The 23,861-nt window shown below is 40.9% G+C and overlaps 1 protein-coding gene across 3 annotated transcripts in view, besides 1 other annotated feature; it reads left to right on the top strand.

The window, feature by feature from the left end:
- Nucleotides 1–23,861, top strand: part of ASTN2 (astrotactin 2) — a 991,946-nt gene that overhangs the window by 278,452 nt on the left and 689,633 nt on the right. The window lies entirely within an intron of this gene.
- Nucleotides 22,974–23,150: a silencer, noted in NCBI's record as "fragment chr9:119875735-119875911 (GRCh37/hg19 assembly coordinates)". NCBI's record gives its function as "represses an EF-1alpha promoter that drives an FKBP-Casp9 reporter gene in an ReSE screen in phorbol 12-myristate 13-acetate-treated (for megakaryocytic differentiation) K562 erythroleukemia cells {active_cell/tissue: K562(+PMA)}" and the evidence as "EXISTENCE:reporter gene assay evidence [ECO:0000049][PMID:32094911]".

Below are 23,861 nucleotides of genomic sequence, written 5' to 3'. Positions count from 1 at the left end.
AAAACACAGTAAATTTGGCCATGTTCCTCCCCCACCTAGAACATTGTCCTGATTTTCTGTCACTTGCACTGGGGGCCTCTTGAGCTTTTGAAATGAAGTCTTCTTAAAGGCATATGAAAATGAACTTACCCCCAGAGGGTCTGCAGCTGTGCTCAAAAGAATCTGTCATAAAGTTCACATTTCAGGTTCATCTTTTAAAAGATCATGCCATTTTATTTCATAGTATATGCATGTTTATTTTAGTTTAAGTTATAGTATTTTTCAGTTAATTAATTTAACACTTGCTCAATTCCTCATACAATATTGATGTCCCAGGAAGAAGAACCATGATTTAACTAACTATAAGGGGGTGAGAATGCTACCATCTTCAAAGGATTTCCATAGGCCAGAATAAGATAATCCCAGTAAAGCATTTAGCACAGAGCCAGACATATTTGCATGCTGAACATATGTGCTCTTTTATTGTGTTATTTATTATTCTGATCATTGCTATGATTATTAGTCTTATTTTTATCGGTATTATTACCTCACAGAGATACATTTACCTTGTTATAGAAGCAAGAACCAATAGGATGAAGGGCATATTGTTTAATGGGATTAAAAGTTGCCATCACTTGCTACACAAGGCTCCCTCCTAGCCTGGGCTGTACCCTGCCTCTGTCTACTCCTGACCCCCAACCCATTGTGTCCTACAGCCTCCAGCACATGGGCCATTTCTCCCTTCCCCCAGTATGCCTTGCTTTCTAGGTCCGAGTGCTGATCATATTCTTCCTGAAAGGCCCTTTCCTCCTCCCCACCCTTTCTCTCCAGGCAAAAAATTGCTGTTTATCTTCAAAATCCAGCCTCAGCATCTGCTCTGTGAAGCATTTTCTCAGCCCCTACCGCAGCCGCAGCCCAGCAAGCCACTCTTTTCTCTGAGCACTCATAGCCCCAGTACTGTTTTTTATCACTGCCCTTATTGCAGTCTGTCGTAAATACATCTGTCACCTTCTTCAGCTCTCACAGTCCCATGATGGAAAAAACAGTGATTTATGTCTGTCTGTAGAATGAATGCCTAACAGGGAACTGGCTTGGGATAGTAATTGGTTTAATGGAAGAATATATGAATAAATTAATGAATGGATGGAGACGGGTAAATAGATAAAGGGAGGTAGCTGGGAGCTCACAGTATGCAAACGGTTAATGGGATGCAGTGCAGCCTACCATCTACTGAGCATTTGGTATGTTCTAGGCACCTTGCCCATCACACATTTTATCTTATTTAAAACTTCCCAATAACCCATAAGGTAAGTACTATAATTATCCCCATTCAACAAAGAAGGAAACTCAAGCTTACACAGTTTCAGTCACTTGTCTAAGTTTACTCAACTAGTACATAGTGGAGCTATGAATTCAGAGCCCACATTTAAATTCCCAGATGACTTGAGCTCTACTCTTAGCTACCACAACTAAGATCTTTGAGCTGTGAAATTATACCTACCTAGTCTAGATCCTGGAAGGAAGTACGTGCAGCTTCTCTTGCATTGGCAGTGTTTCTGTGTCATCAGTGCTGCTGTGAGGGTGTTCAGGAGCTATGAGGCTCTAGAAGGTGAGGCATCTCCCTCTCTGAGCTAAGAATGAATCAGCACTGTCCCCTCAGCTTTTAACTAACCCCAGGGAGCCAGTCCCATGTCCTCAGGAGCCCACAGTGTTACGTCACTGGATAGTGCTCTGTGCATTTTTTAAGACATCCACTCTCAATGTTTTTAGTTTGCCACATGTGTGTGGTATATGCCAACTAGATCTCGGCCTACCAGTACTTCACCATTTATTGAAGGAAGCAGGGCATTACGTATCTGCACCACAATGGATACATGAAGGTGGTGTGGGCTGGCTTGGGGTATTTACTAAACTGGGGGAATAATTAAAGAAGGCTTCACAGAGCAGGTAATCCTAAGTAATGCATTAAATAAAGAGAAAGTTTGGGAAGACATTGCTGGTAGAATAAAGAAAATATGCAAATACACATAGGGATGAAGCTGTGCAGGGGGTAACGGGAATATCTGGGGGAAAATGTGATCCAGGCAGGTGCCAGTGGGAAGATGGGAAGCCACAAAATCCTCCATCAAAATCAGACCCTGGATCTTTGGATCTTGCTCACACATTTCCCAGCAGCATCCCACAGTTGGGAGGAGAAGCAAATTCTGGCTCCTTTATCCTTCTTGATAGATAAGCTTCAATGTTTCAATGTGCTTTTACTGTGGGACACTGTCCCTGGAACACAGGCGTGTGTGTGTGTGTGTGTGTGTGTGTGTGTGTGTGTGTGTGTGTATATATATATATATATATATATATATATAATTTTCATTAGTAACTGGTCATGAATTATTCAATTAGTTGGAAGAAAATAGAAACATTAGCGACTTTAAATTAGTTGCCTTAATGGGTCGTTGCTCTGCTTAAATATTGAACAGGTAGTCCCAGGATTGATCTTCCTTTGTTTCTTTGGTCCCCATCTTTGCTTCCCTACACTTTGTCCTTCTTAGCAGCCTTCCCTTCCTACCAAGGATTTTTGGGTGGGATTTAGGTTTACCGCCCCTTTTGACAAAGGAAGTTTTGACATTGCATCATCAAAATGAGGTTCCACTTAAACCATGAGATAGTTATAGGGGTTACAAGGAGGACTGGATAGACACAACTACCTGGAGACCAGCCCTGAGTCTATGATGAAATAACTCCTTTTACCTCCACCTCTATGCGCTTTTTGCAGCTTGAACTTCTTCCTCTTTCCCATTGCCAATATGCAAATTCTACTCTTCTTTCAAACAAGACCTTTAAACCATTTTCTCTGTGAAGAATTTTCAAATTTTTCCCAAATGAAAGTCGTGCATACCTCCTCCAAACTTTGACAACCTCTTCACTATCTTCCCTGAGATATTTGTCATTTACTATCTTTTATTCAAGTAATTTATAGTCACTTCTTATCTTCTCCCTTAATTACTCTCAAGTGCACAACTATATCTAGGTCATGCCTGTGTTCCCATTGGCTAGCCTGCTTCCTGACAAATAGCAGATCCTCAATAATTGATGAATTAATGGACAATTAATCAAACTGGCTTCATGATCTTGGACAAGACCTTCCACTCTCTGGGCCTCAGTGTCCCCATCTAAAAGGCTATATGGCATTGTGGCAGTGTGCTCAGGGTCTGGAGTCAGACAGATGTGGATTCACATCCTAGCTCTGCCACTGACTGGCTCAACTTTGGGAAATGACTTATGCATCAAATCTCCATTACCTAATCTACAAATCATACAATCAGTCACCTCACAGGGAGGCTGGGAGAATTAGTTAATGTTTGTAAAGTGCTCCGCAGGCTGTACTAAGCATGGTAAGCACCTAATGAATCTTTGTTGTTGTTAATTTGGAAAGCAAAGGTGATGGGCTAGATAATTTCCACAGGTCTCCCCCAACTCAAATAGTCTTTGATGATACATACAATTGAAAAATATTGTTGTACACTAAACAATTCAGAATTTGGAGTCAGAAACTTCTGGTTTGAACCCCAACCCTGCCCTAAGTGCAATGGATACTCAGGGAGGATCTTTAGAGAAACTGCTTAATATCCTTAATATCCTGGGGATATTATTCATCCCCAGTATCTGGGGATGTGAGAATATCTGCCATTCTTTTGTCCAGGACTGTCGTGAGAATATGCTAGGATGCTTATGGAAATCCTTCTTTAAAGCATGCTGTAGATTTGTTGCATCCTGGAATCGGCACCCTGGCATCTTCAAAGATAAGAAATGGCATGTATCTTTGATTAGGAAACCTTTTCCCTCAGTCTCTGGCTTTCTGTCTGTTGACCTCAGGTCTCTTCTAAGAGGTGCAGCCGGGGAGAGTACCACCACCAACCCGGTGACCCACAGGTTGTATTGTACTGAGACATAAGAAAGCTGATCAGCAGTCAGAGCACACAACTGCCTCCATAAATCTTCCCTGATGTGTCTTTCAGAGAAGTTTGTGTTCCTGAAAGTGTATGTCTCCTTCAGGAGCTTTTTCTTGTCCATCTGAAATACATCAGGGGGCTCTCAGTCAATTCTATCTGGCCTGGAGGATGGAGAGGCAACTGAAAGCAGCCTTAGCGGAAGGCTCACGACCAGATCCTGGTGGGGCCTAGGGATACAACTCTACCATATTTCTTTCAGTAGAATGGTAATAATGCTATGTTAGCATTGTTGCATAATAAAACAACCTAAAACGTAGTGAACTAAAATAGCACCCATTTATTTAGCACTTAATTCAATAAAAACATTTGGGCTTGGCTCCAGGTGGTTAGTTCTGGTCTGGGTGGGGTAGGTTCAGCTGACATCTCATGCACCTCTGGCTAGCCAGCTATCCCAGCCTGGTTCACATGCCTGGGAGATCCAAAAACAGCAGAAGTAGGAGCTGCAAGGTTTTTTGGATTGAGCCCAAAAGGTACACATCATCATTCTGCTTCATTGTCTGATCCAATCTGCTTGTATATGTGGAAATGATGGAGACAGGGACTCACTGATGTCACACAGAGAAACTAGCAGATCCAGGAATGGAATAATTCAAGTCCTCTAATTTGTGAAATCATTGGCTATTTATGCCATTTGACCATATAAAATCATGTTTTAAAAAAGCCAAAATCCATAAAATATTTAAAGAGGTTTATTTTAAGCCAATATGAGTGACTATAGACCATGATAGTCCCAAGGGGTCCTGAGAAAGTGTTCCTGAGAGTAACAGTGTGGTTTCACACATTTTACAGAGACTGAAGTTACAGGCAAAGACATAAATCGATATATGTAAGGTATACATTGGTTCAGGGGTACTTACAGGTCATAGGTGGATTAAAAGATTTTCTGATTGGCAATTGGTTGAGTTAAACATTATCTAAAGACTTGAAGTAAATGCTTGAGTTAAGATAATGGGGGTTGTAGATGCCAAGGTTCTTGTTATGTAGATGAAGCCTCCAGGCAGTAACCTTAGAGAGAATATGGTAAATGTACTTTTTAAGACCTTAAAAGTACCAGACTCTCATTTAATTTCTCCTGGATTTGCAGAAAGACCTAGAAAGGGAAGGAGATTCTCTACAGATGCAAATTTTCCCCACAAAAGATGGTTTTGCAAGGCCATTTCAAAATACATCAAGAAAATATATTTTGGGGTAAAATATTTTGATTTCCTTCACTTGTCATGTGTTACTACATCAGAGTCAGGTTGGAATTCGGTGTCTTATTGCTACAGCATCTATTTTGTCAGTCTTTTGATCTCTATTTTAATATTAATGCTGGTCAGTTGTGCCTAAACTCCAAAAGAAGAGGGGTATAATGAGACATGTCTGACTGCCCTTTTCATCATAATGGGAAATTCAGCTTTTCAGGTTTCTCTTGGCTTTGAGTGTGGTAGGGGATTCATTCAGTGTGTTGGGCAGGCTTAAGGTTTTATTTTTGGTCCACATAGGCCCTATTACCTACATTAGGACTGACTGTTGGTGAAATTTAACAAAATACATAGTTAGAAGTTGACAACTTCAGCTCTTTTCTAATTCAGCTGTAATCAACTGCATAAATCACTTAGAAGACTACAAAGAGAAGCTTTACAATTTCCCATGATTGAGATATACATGATTAAACATAGTGAGGATATGAGATAGACTGCCTGGGCCGTTAGCAGATGTTTTCAAGCATGCCACAAATAGGTGCTCAGGGAGAAGGGGAAGGGGAACTGTGGCTGAATAGGTAGGGCTTTTTAATCAAGCTTTTATTCTATGTTTATATATTGGGCTTCAATATTTTGATAGAAAAATCTCAATTCTGCAATTGCACATGTATGTATGTGTGTATGTGTGTGTGTATAGCAAAAGCTCCCATTCCTACATGGAAAGAAAACAGGCAAGTCATGTAGTAAACTTTCAGCAATATGGCTGACAAAGCTAACATGAGCCTTCTTCCTGTTCCATACACACAAAATAAATGTTGGACAAAATATACTTTTTAAAAAATTAAGATTCATCCCAAAAGTAAAGAAAGGAAGCCCCCCGGGCTTAAGGAATGCAGATATAAGTTGTAAGAAATGCAAAGCCAAGCTATGAGTTCAGAAGCTGGTGTCATGATGACTCCAGGTAGGGGGTCAGGTGGGGTGGGATACAAGTAGAGAGAAAGCCTGAGCAAGGAAAAAGTGAAAGATAAAGTGATAGGAATAAACCCCAAAGCATCAGAAATTACAGTAAATATAATTTGCACATTAAGATTCAGTGATAGTTTTTATTTTTATTTTCATTTTTGTTGTTGAGATACAATCTTACTGTCACCCAGGCTGGAGTGCAGTGGCATGATTTCAGCTCACTGCAGCCACAACCTCCAGGGCTCAAGCAATCCTCCCACTGCAGCCTCCTGAGTAGTCAAGACCACAAGTGCATGCCACTATGCCCAGTTAAATTTTTTGTATTTTTGGTAGAGATGGGGTTTCACCATGCTGCCCAGGCTAGTCTTGAATTCCTGAGCTCAAGGGATCTGCTCACCTTGGCCTCCCAAATTGCTGGGATTACAGGCGTGTGCCACCATGCCTGGCCCTGTGATAGGATATATTAAACAAAATTCAGTTATATACTATTTCCCAGAGATCATTCTAAAGCATAAGGACACAAAGTTTGACAGAGGGAAAGGGAAAGGAAAAATATATATTTTGTGAATACTAATCAAATGAAGGCTTATAAAAAAATGGAATCATATGGCAAAATTAATTTTACAACAATAAGAAGGAACAAGGAAAAATCCTTAGGAATAGAGAGTATTATTAATTAACCAAAAAAGAAACCATTTACTGGGAGAGAAATGAAATTTGTACTTACATATAGGAACAACATGGTTTCAAAATGCTTAAATGAAAAAACTGAGAGAAGTACAGGGAATGTTGATTAATACATAGTCCAAGTGGGAGACATTTTACAAAAATCTTCCTATTAGACCAAGTAGAGAAACTACTACTAATAATAATATAGAAAAATTTAACTACACTATTAAAGATATAATAAAATGGACATATATAAAATTCTGCCCTCAAAAATTAGAGGTTAAAAAATTTTCTTAAGAAGAGAGAAATTCTGTTTATGGATCTTGATGTCTTATAACCTCAATTTTCTGGCTTTGGCCATTTCTTAATATTTTATTTTATTTTCAGTGATGACTCTGCAACATTTAGGGCTAGATGTAGTTTAATTTTTATCTGTCTGAAAGTCGTTTATTTTACATCAAGGGGTGGAGATAGGGAGAAGCAATTCATGTGCAGATTTTATGTTTTTGTTTGTTTTTTGAGGAACGGAGGGAGGAAGTGGGTATGGCAGAGGTTGTGGTTAAGGAGAACATTTCTAGAAAAATGGTCACTGTCAATGCAAAGAAGTGGTATTTGCCTTCAATCCATATATCTCATATTTCTGCTTCAAATTGAAATTACCTTTACAAAAATTATGACAATGAAAGAAATCTGACCTAACCAATTCCATGTTGCTTATAACCTTCAAGCTGCCTGATACGTTTTGGCTCTGTGTGCCCACCCAAATATCATCTTGAATTGTACTCCCGTGATTTCCACATGTTGTAGGAAGGACCTGGTGGGAGATAAATGAATCATGGGGGCAGTTTCCCCCATACTGTTCTCATGGGAGCGAATAAGTCTCATGAGATCTGATAGTTTTATCAGGGGTTTCCGCTTTTGCATCTTCCTCATTCTCTCTTTGCCTGCTGCCATCCATGTAAGATGGGACTTGCTCCTCCTTGCCTTCCGCCATGATTGTGAGGCTTCTACACCAACTGGAACTGTAAGTTCAATTAAACCTCTTTCTTTTGTAAATTGCCCAGTCTCAGGTATGTCTTTATCAGCAGTCTGAAAATGGACTAATATGCTGCCCTTGTTCAACCCTAGGCATAGGCCAAGCTAACTATGGAGGAGTTTAGTTTATAGTTTAACTTTGAAACAAAGATGGCATCAACCCCTTTCTGATACAAACCCACTCCTTGCCTGGGGATCAGACCTCCTTTGTAAAATTAACACATTAGCCACAAGATTAGAAATTATGGCTCTGGTGTCATGCAGTCAGAGGCCACAAGATTCCTAACCTCCCCAATTGCCCTTATAGATAACATCGCTGTCATAAAACCTAAGATTAGTGTTTGAAGTATTTTTAAGACCTTGATTTCTTTTTTTTTTTTTTTTTTTTTTTTTTTTTGAGACAGTGTCTCACTCTGTCACCAGGCTGGAGTGCAGTGATGGGATCTGGCCCACTGCAACCTCCACCTCCCGGGTTCAAGCAATTCTCCTGCCTCAGCCTCCTGAGTAGCTGGGACTACAGGCACACACCAGCATGCCCAGCTATTTTTTGTACTTTTAGTAGAGACAGGGTTTCACCATGTTGGCCAGAATGTCAGACCCTGATTTCTGATGGACTAACTGTTGCCACACAGACCAGTAAACTGGCTTATCTGGTCTTGTAGCCCCCACCCAGGAACTGACTCAGTGCAAGAAGACAGCTTTCACTCCCTATGATTTCTTCCCTGACCAAACCAATCCGTGTTTCTTATTCCCTAACTCCCTGTTCACCAAACTATCTTTAAAAAACCCGGCCGGGAGCGGTGGCTCACGCCTGTAATCCCAGCACTTTGGGAGGCCGAGGCGGGTGGATCACGAGGTCAGGAGATGGAGACCATCCTGGCTAAAACAGTGAAACCCCATCTCTACTAAAAATACAAAAAATTAGGTGGGCGTGGTGGCGGGCACGTGTAGTCCCAGATACTGGGGAGGCTGAAGCAGGAGAATGGCGTGAACCCGGGAGGTGGAGCTTGCAGTGAGCCAAGATCGTGCCACTGCACTCCAGCCTGGGCAACAGAGTGAGACTCTGTCTCAAAAAAAAAAAAAAAAAAAAAAAAAACCAAAACAAAAAAAAAACCCTAACTTCTGAAATCACAGGGAGACTGTAATTTGAGTAATGAAACCCCAGTCTTCCATTTAGCTGGCTGTGCAATAATTAAACTCTCTATTGTAAAAATCTGCTGTTCTCAGTGCATTAGCTTTTCTAGGCAATGGACAAGATGAACCCATTGGGCCATTACAAAACCATGGAAATAAAGCTTTTGTCAGGGTATTTTCCGTAGAGAGAAAGAGCCTTCTCCAAATTACCTATGTGTGATCTAGTTATAAAGATTTGCAGGGAGCAGCTGTAACACCTGACCCCTTCCTGTATCTGTATCAGCCTTGCTACCTGCCGAGGGTGTTAGCCGAGAAACGCTGGTGAGCTCCCTTTCAGTGCAGTGTTGCGGAGCAACCTTCACAGATTGTAACATGGAGAAGGGTCCCAAAGAAATCATCTTGCGTTCAGGCAGAACTACATAGAAATAACTCCACAAGATCTAGAGAATTCAAGAGTAGGTAATTATACCAATAACTACAGCAACCCAGGATGGCTAAGATCTCTGATAGACTCTTTGGCCTCATTCTTAGATCAGCATCTGTGGTCCCAGCAGAGCTATACAAGTCCAAGTCAGAGCAATTATCCTGCCGTAGGATGATACCTTTCCAAACTGCTCTTTAGGGCTGCTGTGACTAATTCCCATTTCCCCAATTCTAGCCCTGCCTATTCCTTCTGTCTAAGCTTAACTACCTACCCAGGGTCTCCAACCTCACTTTCATTATTCTTTCAGCTGAATGTCTACTCAGTGTAAGACACTATGCTCAGCCCTGAGACTGCAATGGAAATCTAGACATATGAGGTCCTCACTTCTATGTAACTCAAGATTTGGAGAAAGAAGCAGACAGTCAATCAATCACTCACTCAAGCATTCAAGTATAATAATTACAGATTATTAAACGTTCACTGGAGTAAATTACTTTGGTGCTAACCATTCTAGTTGTCCACCAAGTCTGCAGTGAAACCAGTTAGGCTTCCTACTCCTTTGCCTTGGCTGGAAATACTCTCTTTAATTCCTCCAACAAAGATGAAACTATAGGAGGAATGAATCTCAAAGCTAGTGTCATGGTTTTGTTTATTCTACTTTCTAATTTGGGACATATATCTGATAGGAAACCACAATTATTGGCCATTTCTTTTGTGCTCTTTACTCTTTTAAGAGTAATGAGTTTCACATGTATTACTGTAACAACCTTTCTCTAACCCTTACTTTGTAAAAGAAATGGATGTTCAGAGACATGAAGTAAGTTGCCCAAACTTGCACAGCCAGGAGCTTGGAGGTAAATTTAGACCTGACTGCTTCCAGTTCTCCTGTACCTTCTGCTACATTGTAGCTGTGTCTGTTAGCAGCACATACCTCCAAGACTTGCATTCACATTACCTGTGTGGGATGTCTGCACATACATAGGCCTCAGAGCTTAGACTGAAACTTGACAGAAATAAGGCAGCAACAAAAAGGGTCCTTTACTGAATATCCTAATTACTCTGGTGGGATTCATATTCATTTTCTGACCTAATTATTATTAAGAATATGCCATCTGTGTAAACTGGGTTTTATGATTTTGTTGTAAACTTTTGTGCAATTTAACTTAAAAGAAAAAAACAACTAACCTTTAATGTAATTCCATGATGGAAAAATGCTGGTTTGATGTACAAGGTCTAATTGTCCCCATCACATGGTAAAAATCCAAATGTAGCTAAACATTAAGGTTAAATGATGATACCACAACTTAGTTTGCATTTTACATCCAATTGAAAACACAAACCCCTCGCCTCATTAATCCTTTGCAATCCAATTCCCCCCCCCGCCGCAATGAAATGATCCTTTTGGGACACATTTATATCCTTTTAACAGCCGCCTGACAGTTCTGCTGATGGAGTTTGTATCCAACTTTGTTACTGGATAGTGACAACCTGCCCTGACGGATATGTGTACATAATTATTCTCTCGCAGTTAGATTTAATTAATGCTTACCCTCATCATGATCTTGCAGCTAGCAGGCTCTCTCTGCAGGAGCAGTTAATGGCAAAAGGATTTCCTTTTTAGCCAAGAGAGACTCCAAAAGGCTTTGTAAAACCCTTTCTTTCTTTAAGATTTAACAGAATGAAAATGCATCTGAGCATATTTCATTTGTTTTCTTTCCACATTAATGCCACATGTGAACATATTTGTGGCTACATATAGGGATAGAGTTGTTAAACCTAATTTCAGACTAAGTATTGCTAATATGAGCAGCTGCAACAGATCACAAAGAAGATATATATTTTTTAATATCTTGGCTCAGAATTGAGGTGCCCTGGATACATTTTGTTTATGTCTCTGTACAAAATATGTATGTGTATATTTTTCTAACCAACTGTCTCCCCAAATGCCACCCAGAGTTCAAAAGTAAATAGCTGTGTGAGAGAGGAGATGTTAAGAAGAAATGATGGGGGAGACAAAGGGTGTTTGAAGACAAGCTTTGCAAAGAGATTATTAAGAAGTTAGTAATAAGAAGAGGGAGCATGTATTTATAAAACCCCATTAGAAGGGAATACTTTACACATCTGTCCTAGTCCTTGCTTCTGAAATATTCATGTGCCATTTGATTTTTATTACCATAATGGCAATGTCTTGTGTTTGTAGAGAGCTTAACAGTTGACAACACATTTTTGCACCTACTATCTTAGGTGATCTTTGTAAGAACCCTGTGAAATGTGCAGAGAAGCCTTCACAGGTGAGTAGACTGAGACACAGAGAGGTTGTGTCACTTTGACCACAATCATACAGCTGGAAAGTAACAGAACCTGGCACAGATGCCACATGCAGCTTTTTTTTTTTTTTTTTTCATGGTGGCAGGGTCTCGCTATGTCACCCATGCTGGAATGCAGTGGTGCAACGGTGGCTCGCTACAGCCTCAACCTCTGTGAAGCAATAGCTTCTAAAACAAAATCTAATGCTATATCAAATAACTTCTCCCATCTCTTCCTTTAGGTTTAAAATGCATGTAAGGAAGATTTAAGTGAGCAACTCCAACAGCAGTGCCTCCTTTCCTTCACTTGTCATGCTAAAGCATCAGCAGACTCTCAGCTAAAAGATACCATTTAAGTTGAAAGTAATATGATGCTACTTATTTTAATGATTATATACAATATTAATGATCATTATTGCTGTGAGTTGTTATGGGAGATTTTATCCAGCAAGATTCCAGAAGCCTCCAGTAAAATGTGGCCACATCAAGATGATAGAAGGAATCATATCTTTTTTCCTGTTATGGCAAATACTGTTTAAAGGCTGTGACCTTGAACCCTCAAAAGGCCTTAAATGAAATTCAGGAATGTGGAGTGGGAGGTGGGTATGTAGAAATCGTCCCATAACACAAATGAGAAAACTGAGGCACAGAGAGGGAAAGCAACTTTTTTACCATGAGTTAGTGGCATATCTGGGCCCCCAACCCTGGTTTACTGACTCCCAGTTCAGATCTCTGCCCACTATGCTATAGCTAAGCTGGAAGAAGCCTGAGAAATCCCTGTTTTCACAAGTGAGAAACTGAGACCTGGAGAAGGGGGCGTGGCTAATCCAAGGTCATGCACCACAGAGATGAAAATGTATCCAAAATCCTGTCTCCTTAATTCCTATAAATTCGATGCAATTCAACAAATATTGTTCGGGTGTACGCTACGTGCCAGGCATGTGAGTTAACTGCTGTGGTGACATCAGCCTCCAAAAGCACAGACAGGCATGTCGCAGAGATGAGAGGAAAGAATATGGCTGCTCATACTCATTTGATACAGTGAGTAAGAAGAATGTGAAACCAATTCCTGGTGAAGTCCAAGTCCGAATTTAAACAAACTGACCTTGGAGAAGAGGGCTGAGGAGAGGTGGGTAGGGAGGAATGGAGAAGGGTGGAGTTACAGTCCCAATTACAGTCTCTTTGCTTTGCTTGCCTCTTAATGTAATTACCTCTCTGAGTCTCCAAAGATGAATATTTAAATTAAAGAATAAGGGCTAGAGCCAGTAGAAATACAGCCTCTTACATTCAGCCAGTACTCTACAGGGTAGTAACACTAGCATCGTGTGTTGTCATTGTATTCTTATTTATCAAGAGCTTACCATGCATCTTTTGATTTTGCATATGTTATCTAACTGTACTTCACAATATTTTCATAGTGTATATATTATTATTATCCATATTTTACAGGTGAGAAAATTTTGGCTCACGAGGCAAGACCCACTTGTCTAATGTCAAATAGATGGTCAGTGGCAAAACCTGGATTTGAACCAGATTAATTGAACCCCAAAGTCCAGTCTCTTAACTGTGACACATATGGCCTCTCTCATGGAAGCCTTCTGCTTGAGCACAGGGTGCTAAAGCTTGGAGTGGTGCCCACAGGTCTGTTTTTGCATCCTCATTGCTCTGGGACAGTGATTCTCAGAGGGTAGCTCCTGAACACGCAGCATCAGCATCCCGTGGGAACTTGACAGAACTGTAAATTCTCAGCCCCTGCCACTGTAGGGTGGAGCCTGATGATCTGTGTTTTAACGGCCTTACAGGTGATCCTGATACATGATTAAGTGAGAGAGCCACTGCACTAGGAAGATATTCCCATCCTTGGCTTCCTCTTCAGTAATCTCAGGGCCAGGGGTATCCTGGAGGTCACTGATTCCAGCCCCTTTTGGAGCTTTCTGCTCCTCATCTGGTCTGTGTGTGTTGGTGCTATTCTGTTTTATATGGATGATCAAAGTCAGTTTGAAAGACATTGAGGGTTAAAAGCTTTGTAAGCAGGCTCCGGGGAATTGGGACATGTTTCGCATGGAGCACTGAGTTGTGGCATGTGTCTGAACTGCTAAAAGTGAAGGAGGAAGTTCCACAGTGTCTCTGTTTGCCTCCTCCTCCATAAACCCACCACCAGCAATGAACACAGCCGTAGCCACCCTGTTGACTTCATAAAGTCTTTTAAGTTGGTGTTGAACAAGCAAAAGGGAGGATTGTCCTGTCTTTCTCTGTCAAGCCCCTAGCCAGTAAATCGAATCATGCATCCACACCTTAAATCTCTTCTCTTTCCCCACAAAGTCAATGACCATGTGGACACTTCAGACTGCTGCCCATTGCTTAGCAGTGGTCCTATTTTTAGCTTGTATCCTTGTATCCATATACAGAGCCAATACCTCTCCTCAAAATAAGCTTATCCTTTTCCCTCCCCACTCCCAGGTGTCCCTAAATGCAACCTGAGTGAGAGGCACTAGTGCAATTGTGGTGGATGCTATGGGACCTGGGCCATCTGCTACTGCAGTTTATTTGTATCCCTTGAGCTTGCTTGGACCTAATTGTGATTTGCCACTCTCATCTTATGTGAGAGTCATACTCTACCACATGACTCAGAGGGTCTGACAGAACCAGCTCATGACTTCTGCTAGATTATGGCTGCATGTTTTCTTGATAGCATCCAATAGCATACCTGAAACTTTCACGGGAAAGTTCCTTCTTTCAAATGCATTCTTTCTGCTGCAGAAGGCATGACCTTACTCTGAGAGCAGGAGATCTACATTGTGTGTCTCCTGATTGGAACTTGCAATCCACACAGTATTTATTATCACCAGGAACTCTTATCCTACAGGTGATATGGTTTGACTCTATATTCCCACCCAAATCCCATGTCAAATTATATGACCAGTTTTGGAGGAGGGGCCTGATGGGATGGTATTGGATCTTGGGGGCGGATTTCCCCCTTGCTGTTCTCAAGATGGTGAGTGAGTTATCAGGAGTTCTGGTTGTTTGAAAGTGTGTAGCACGTCTACCCTCACTCCCTGTCTCTCTCCTGCTGGCCATGTGAAGATGAACTGGCTTCCCCATCGGCTTCTGCCATGATTGTAAGTTTCCTGTGGCTTCCCCAGATGCAGAAACCTGTATAGCCAGCAGAACAATGAGATGATTTAACCTCTTTTCTTTATGAATTAGTCCGTCTCAGATATTTCTTTATAGCAGAGTGAGAATGGACTAATACAAGGTCCACTGGGTCATATGGTAACAAATGGCAGGGTTGTTTGCATCACAGCCTAACTGCTGCAGCACCTTTTCCTGTTCTGTGATCCAACTCAGAGTTGGCAGCCTTCCATGCTACTTGGAAAATGGGTCAGGGAAATATTCCCAAGTGTGTAATTTGCTGTCTCCAGAATCAAAAGAGGCCTACCAAGCATTCTGCTTCCTTCCTGGAGGTGTGAGCTGTGAGATGCAGTAATTTATTCTTTATTTTGCAAGGGATGTTATGGCATGCCACAGACTGCTGAACTCTAAAATTTTCACTGATGTAGTGAACCCCCGATTCTTCATAAGATTTATCTCACACCTTCTAAAGCACATATCTTACCAAAATCTTGAACATATTTTTCCTTTCTTGTTCCTCTAGCCCAGTGATGCACCAACATAATAGACCAATGTGATACTCTGTGAAATATCTAGATGGTCCATGTTCTTCAGATTATGTAACGACAGAGGGTAGAACAGTTAATAAAGCCCTGGGGCAAGACCACAAATGTGTAGTGATGCCTACCCCATGTGGATGTGAACTTCTTCTAATAATTTTACCAGATAGAGATGGAAAAGAAAAAACTTATTTTCCATATTAATGGACACATACTGTGTACCCCAGGCTGTATTAATTACCTGTAGCATAGACACTACATCTGACAACTGCAAAACTTGGGCCTACAATTTGTTTGAGTTTGTATTAGCTCACTGTTACCCTCCTGAATCCATCTGAATTTTGAAGGGACAAGACTGGTGAATTAAATGTGAATATGATACAGACCATCACTCATGCATCCTTAAAGTCTGTAAGTATAGCACTGATTGCTTCCATTACCTACAGGATGAGACTTTAGTTTTAGTTTCCTCTCTTGGGTGGCAATGGAAATGTCTCCACTTGCCTTCCCCATTATGATAGTTTTAACACAGAGTCCAAAGAAACAATGAGAGGAGGATTCTTCCAGCCACCAAGTATGGCTGTGTCAATTCTACATTTGGGGGCTAGGGAGAGGATCCTCCCACTGTGAGCTACACCTAGGTTGTGACTCCATTCTGTTACCTGGAACCCCTTGGTCCCCGACTCTAAGTATGCCTGGGGTCTCTGCTATCACTGTCAACTTGTACTCAATGGTCTTTGAAATGTCTGGATGTTCCTCTTCCTCTGGTGTATGATTGTCCAAATAAAAGTCCATAAGTCCCTCTGAGGAAGGCCTAGAGGAGACATTACTGTATACACTCACTGTGGCATGGTGGCCTTCCTCATGGGCACCCAGGCTCTCCTTTGGTTGGTGAATACAAGTCTGAAAACTGGTTCAGGTCCAGAAAGTGGGCATGTTGTAGGTGTGAGCAAGTACTTGCCATCATAACGTGATGACTCATTGTGCAGGAAGTTCTCAGAACACGTGTGGGAAGGTGAGTTTCCAGTCATTCACTAAGAGATATGACAAAGTTTTCCAATGAGCCACCACCTTCTTCCAGTCCAGTGTTTTATTCCCACCCCCACACCCAATAGGAGCCAAAATATTTTGTAATTTTTCAGCATTTCACAATTACATAATCTCTGAGTATATATACTCAGGGTATATATATATATATATATATATATATATATACACACACACACACACACACACACACACATACAAATATATAGAGATATCTATATATGATTTCCTTTCATATGAAATAATAGCTGTGTGAGGGAATTACCTTTTCACATTCTAGTGCTATAGTGCTATTTTGTTTATTCACCTCCATCTTGCAAAATCTACCCATAGGAAAGCTTCTAAAGTCAAACCCCATCTTCCTATGAAATTCAGGATAACATGCGTGTCACATTGTGTCACATTGGGATGCCCTCATTTTTGTCAGTCTCTGGCAAATCCCATCTATCAGAGGAAGGCTGGTGAGGTGAGGATTAGTGTCTCTTTCTCATATTTCAAATAATGTAAAAATTATATTTAAAAAGATTCAGAGAGGTTTAATAATTTGTTGAAAATCAGACATGAAGGAAGAAGTTGGACTCAAATCTAGCTCCCAATCATTGCATGTGTTCTTTCTAGCACTTGTAAGGGTAGGCTTGATTGCAAGCTGTGGAGTGAAAGCTGTGAGATGCAGGAGAGAGTAAGGAGAAGGAGGTGCTGGAGAGGGTCAGGACATCAGGAGGCCACACCCTAGTTTACCTTCTCCTCAACACACATGATAGGGGCCTCCTTGTCCTGGCTACAGGAAGCTTGGGCATTCCCACTCCTTGAACCTGAAGCCAGTTTCTGCAAACTCAGAAGCAATTGGGAAATAGCACACCATGCCTAATCAAATAAAATTCATTTCTTTCATCTCCCCAGAGAGTTCCTCATTTAAACAAACAGGTGAGTTTCCAAAAGTATATGTGTTTGCAAGATGTTTTCAAACCTGCATGTAAATCCTTTTCTGTTTTGAGAGGGCAGGCAGAGTGGGCAATTTACAATTTTTCTTTCTACTGTTTAGCTTTAAATTTTTCTGTGCATTATCTATTCATTCATTCAACAAGTATTTATTGAATGCCTACCCAATGCTGGGCACTTAAGTGAATGCAGAGTATGGTGATAAAAAGACAAAGGTCCTGAACTCCTGCAGGTTCTATTCTTCTGTAAGAGAGAGGCAATAAACGTAGATATGACATCATCTCAGAAAGCAATAAATGTTATGAAGAAAAATAAAACAGGGTAAAAAGATAGAGTGAGGAGGTGGAGGAAGGGAGTATCTTAGGGTGGTCAGAGAAGGCTTCTTGAGGAGGTGACAGTTGCACAGAGACCTGTGGAGAAACAACATTGTAGGAAGAGAAAGAACAGTATTATGACCCTGAGACAAGAACAAGGTTAATGTATTCAGTGGCCTGCAGGAAGACCAGGGTGAGTGAGAAGGGCAGGAAGAGAAAAAGATGGAAAAATAGCCTGGGGTTACATAATTAGGATCCAGCTGTGGATTTTGGAGTATTGTTTTACAGCTGATGAGCATCCATTGGAGACTAGTGAACAGGGAAAGGACTTGGTTTGATTTACATTTATAATCTGACCTCTCTAACTTTTGTGCATGGAATAGGCATTGGGAATATAAATGTAGAAGCCTGGAGAGTGTCAGAAAGCCCATTTTGTGGTAAAATAGACAGACGATGATAGCTTCATCTAATGTTGCAGCTGTGGAGGTGATGAGAAATGATCAAACCTTAGGATTTTTTGGTAGAGACAATGGGACTTAGATCTGGATTGGCTGTCCTCTAGGAGAGGAAAAAAAGGGATCAGTGATGACTACCATGTTTTGGTCTGGGTAAGTTCATGACTGGAGATCTAGGATGGGGGCAACTGGGCCAGTAGCTGTCTTAGGAAGGGCAAAAAAGAACTCTGGCTTAACCATGTGATGTCCTCTCATCTGAATAGTAGCTTTCCAAACCATATGGGAAATATAGAATTACTTTTGTTTTATAAAAGAAAACAGGGAAATTAAATTACTTAAACCCGCATGACAACACTGATAGAACCAGGATGTAGACCCAAGAATCCTAGGTCTCGGCTACTGAGCTTTCCTTATAACTGGTCAGTGAATCCCTTTGAACAACCTGGCACTTTTTTCCTCGTTGGGTTTGTGAAGAGGTCAGGATTTATTTATTTATTTTTTTAATATAACGGTGATTTTCAAAAGGGGTTTCCCCTACATTCTGCCCTGCTGCCATGAGACGCAGGGGCCTTTGGGTGGCTCTTACCCCCAGAGCCTGCGAAGTTCACCCTGGGAATGAGTGCCATGTCTGAAGAAAGATGGAGTGTGACGGCTGCTTAGAAAGCATACTGTTTCTCCTGGGATAGAAACGTAGAAGAGCTGTTGGGGATTGTTAGCTCAGGGAAAGAAAAAGTCAGACTCTCAGCACATGGTAGATTATTTATGTTTGAGATTAACAGGCTAATAACTCAGCAAACAGGATTAAATTGGAAAACATCTCATCAAAACATCTGCAGTACCATGGGGTAGGGGGTGCTGATGAGAACTCCTCTTGATTTATTCCTTCTAGCCAACACTTGTTAGCTCCTACTATGTGCCAGGAACCATATCAGGAGCTCAGGGAGAGAAAAAGCCTCTGCTCACATCTTGAGGCAGTAGGTGAGGGGAGCCCTTCCCACTCTCAACAAAGTCCCTCATTCTTTCCTAAAACAGCCTGTTGACACAACTTTGGGTATTAGTGGAGTTGCGTTTTTTTTTTTTCTCTTTCTTCGTTCTTTTCTTTTTTTTTTTCTCCACTTTGCTTTTTTCCCATCTCCCAGAGCTGTTTAAAACCCTACACTTGTCCAAGAAAGAAAAGAAAAAGTGCAAATAGCAACTTACATTTAGTCCCTTCCACTTGGATCTGAGCTAGTTAAGTTTGGTGTTTGTGTAGAAACTTTCATGTGTCTTCCACAGAGAGTAATGAATTTTTCCTAGCTAAGGGGAAACTGAGGTACCCCATCCCAAAGATGAGCCCCTCTCTGTTTTTCACTTGCCTGATTTCTTGACTGCTGTGAAAACCTCACTGTTATCACCACCAGTCCCCATGCTTAAGCATTCATATTACCATATTATCCTATTACCATATTGTCCACAAGAGGTATGAGAAAGAACACTGGGTCCAGAGACCCAGGAGTTGATTGTGAATCTGTTACTGTCATCTCCCAAGCATAAAGCTTTATACATCAGTAATAGGACATTCTGCTTACATTATGTAATTGTTAGACCTAATTAAACGATGAATGGGAAAGGCCTTTTTTTTTTTTTTTTTTTTTTTTTTTTTTTGGCTCATGCCAGAACTGCCTCAAAACCCCATCAACACACACACACACTCACACAGAGAGACTTTTTAGGAACAATTGGAAATAACTCTACTGGCCACAGGACAACTATTAGGCCATGGAGGCAGGCACATTCCCATGTAGCCTAGCTTGGAAAGAGCAGTTTTGCAAGGACTTTGGAGCAAAGCTTCCACTGTTGCCTTCCAGAATCACCATTCTCCTAGACTAGCATTGTGCAGAATTAAAAAAAAAAAAAAAACTTTTGATGAAATCTTTTCCCTTAACATTGTCTATAGCTTTGATCAAGCAAATGGCAAAGATTATTCAAGTTAGCAGTTGAATCTGTTGTTCCTGATTGTGTGTTTGTTTAATTCTTGTGTGGCCAGAAAGATGCACATGATAAAGACCCTGTAGTGCCTCCATCATGCTTCAAAAGTATGTTCTGACCAATCTACATAGGTTCACAAGAAAACCCTTATCTCTGTAGAGAAGTTCACATTCTTTTACTAGTTTCAGCTTACTGACTGAAAGCTAGAGCCAAGCCAGAATCTCTGTTTCACTTGTGTGTGATCATCTTTCCTCCATTCTCATGCCTCACTACACACACAACCCTAATCTCACATCCTGACCATTCTTTCTGCTACCCCCAGGAGATAGGAGTGAGGCCCTGCCATGTGTTCCACAGCTCTTGCATTAGCCTATGCTGTAGCCTTATTATACTTCATTCTGCCTTCTGGATTCTTGACCATTTCCTCCATCTGAATGTGAGCTCTTGGATGGGAGCAATATATATATATATATGCATTTTTTTTTTGAGGCGGAGTCTCACTCTGTCCCCCAGTCTGGAGTGCAGTGGCACAATCTCAGCTCACTGCAAGCTCCGCCTTCTGGGTTCACGCCATTCTCCTGCCTCAGCCTGCCGAGTAGCTGGGACTACAGGCGCCCACCACTACGCCCAGCTAATTTTTTGTATTTTTAGTAGAGACGGGTTTTCACCATGTTAGCCAGGATAGTTTCGATCTCCTGACTTCGTGATCCTCCTGCCTTGGCCTCCCAAAGTGCTGGGATTACAGGTGTGAGCCACCGCGCCCGGCCAGCAATTGTCTCTTATTGACAGTTATACCCCTAGCCTACTGCACAGGCTTAATATGTAGTAGGCATTCAAACAACGTGTTGAGTAAACAAATCAATATTTGAATAAATGAAACTACAGCTATTTGTTGTCCAAGGTTTCCAATATCCTTTTAAATGTATTATCTCACTTAAGACTTGTGACCATAGTATAGAATAGATATTTTGTTTTGTTTTGTTTTTCTGAGACAAAGTCTCACTCTGTCGCCCAGGCTGGAGTACAGTGGCATGATCTCGGCTTACTGCAACCTCAACCTTTGCATCCTGGGTTCAAGTGATTCTCCTGCCTCAGCCTCCTTAGTAACTGGGACTACAGGCATGCACCCCCATGCTTGGCTAACTTTTGTACTTTTAGTAGAGACAGGGTTTCACCATGTTGGCCATGCTGGTCTTGAACTCCTGACTTCAAGTGATCCACCTGCCTCGGCCTCCCAAAGTGCTGGGATTACAGGTGTGAGCCATCACATTGCCCGGCCTAGAATAGATATATTCCCATTTTAGAGATGTGAGACTTAGAGTTTAGAGAGCTCAAGTGACTCACTTAAGGTCACTGTTAATGGTGATGATTGCTGTATACAAAATTACCCCAAAGCTTTGTGGTTAAAAGCAACAACCTTTTCCTTTGGCCCACAGTTTTGTGGGTCAGGAATTCGTAAAGGGCTTGGCTGGGCAGTTCTTGCTTCGGGGTGTCTCATATAGTTGTAGCCAAACACCAGGTGGGGCTGTAGTCATCTGAAGGCTCAACTGAGCTGGACATCAAAAATGGCCCCCTCACATGGCTGGAAATGGGTGCAGTTGTTGGCTAAGAGCTCCAATGGGGATGTTGACTGGTGTGCCTACATGTGGGCTCTCCAAAATGCTAATCTCTGAGTAGTCAGGTTTCTTGGATAGTGACTGGTTTCTGTCCCAGGAGAACTAAGTGACATTGCATGGCCTTTTCTGACCTGGCCATGCAAGATACATAGCCTCAATTCTGTCATTTTCTTTTAGTCAAAGCAGTAACAAGCCCTCCCAGATTCAAGTATTGAAGATCCTGTATCTCAGTAAGAAGTATGTCAAGAATTTCAGGGCTATGTATAAAGCTACCACAGTAACACAGAATTAAAAAACAAAACAAAACAACAAAAAAGCCTCAAACTTAGGTTTTCTGACTCTAATTCAATAATTTTTTGCTATTCCATGATTGATATATAACATGAATTTTGAATATACAAAACAATTCAGAGCTAATGCAGTGTATCAATGAGGGCCTCAGTTCTCCAGACAGCTGCAGGAAGAATTGTTATGCTAAAAACACAATTTCTGATAAATTATTGAATTGTCTGTGTTCTAATTTCATGCCTGAAATGCAGAGGAGAAGTGAGGATACTCATCCCTCTGGGATTACTGCTCTGCCCGTAAGTCTGACCAACAATAAGAGTGTCATTCGATAATGAGTTATATTAGACTAAAACACACATCTTAGTCACACATTTGACTAGGGACACAAAGCTGGCCTTAATCTGATAAATCCCATAGACTTTTTTTTTAAAAAAAAAAAAGACTAATGTTCATTAAAAAGAGTTTCTAAAATTCCCCAAAGTATAAACAAAAATGAAAATGTTCTGTACCTCATCCTCCAAAAACTACTAACATATAAATTTTGCCCTATTTTTTTCAAGCTTTACTTATATTTTTCTACATGCAACTTAAAAATGATCTTTATTAAAGTATAACTTGTTTACAAGAAATCACATCCATTTAGAGTATGCAATTCAATGAGTTTTGAAAGATGTATACACCAGTGACCATTTCCTTCACCCCCAAAAGATTCCTGACGACCTTTTACAGTACATCCTTCTTTCTACCTACAATATCAGACAACCACAGATCTGCTTTTTGTTACTATAGATTAGATTTGTCTTTTCTGGAATTTCATTTAAATGGACTCACACAGTATGTAGTTTTTGTGTCTGACATCTTCCATTCAGCATAAAGACTTTGAAATTTCTTCCTTTATTTACACCTGTCAGTAGATCCTTTTTTTTTTGTTTTGTTTTGTTTTGTTTTTTGAGACGAAGTTTTGCTCTTGTTGCCCAGGCTGGAGCGCAATGGTGCGATCTCGGCTCACTGCAACCTCCACCTCCTGTGTTCAAGCGATTCTCCTGCATCAGCCTCCCTAGTAGCTAGGATTACAGGCACCTGCCACCATGCCTGGCTAATTTTTGTATATTTAGTGGAGACGGGGTTTAACCATGTTGACCAGGCTGGTCTTGAACTTCTGACCTCAGGTGATCCACCCTGCTTGGCCTCCCAATGTGCTGGGATTGCAGGTGTGAGCCACCACGCCTGGCCTAAATATGCTGTATTTTATCTGCCAACCAGTTGGTGGATATTTGGGTTGGTTGCAGCTTATTGCTACTGTGGATAAAACTGCTGTGAACTTTCATGCAGAAGTCTTTATGTGAACATATATGGTTTTGTTTCTCTTGTGTAACTAGGAATGGGATATCTGGGTTATTTGGTTGTTGTAGAATTAACATTTTGAGAAATAGGGTTTTTTTCCAAAGTGGATACATGATGCATGTTTTCATCTGCAGTAAATGAGAGTTTCACTTGCTTCAAAACCTTGTCAAGACTGGTAAGACTGATCTTTTTAAAATTTAGCCATTCTAATTGTTGTGCAGTTGTATCTCATTGTGATATAATTTATGTCTCCCTGATGACTAAAGAGGTTGAGGATCTTTTCATGTACTTATCAGCATTCATATATTTTTAGGTATTTCTTCAAATCTTTTCCATTTTGTATTTGCTTATCTCCTTGTATTGTTGTAAGAGTCTTTATAAACATACTTTGTCAGATATATGTATTATATGTATTACAGTTATTTTCCCCGATTATGTAGCTTGTCTTTCCTTTTCTTAGTGGTGTCTTTTGAAGAAGAAGATCTTTCATTTTTCTAAACTCCAGTTTCTCAATTTTT

Source organism: Homo sapiens, chromosome 9 (assembly GCF_000001405.40).
Source record: "Homo sapiens chromosome 9, GRCh38.p14 Primary Assembly".
NCBI classification, from domain to species: Eukaryota; Metazoa; Chordata; class Mammalia; order Primates; family Hominidae; genus Homo; species Homo sapiens.
The sequence above is the reverse complement of the archived record's forward strand: the minus strand, read 5'-3'. Positions and strand labels throughout refer to the sequence as shown.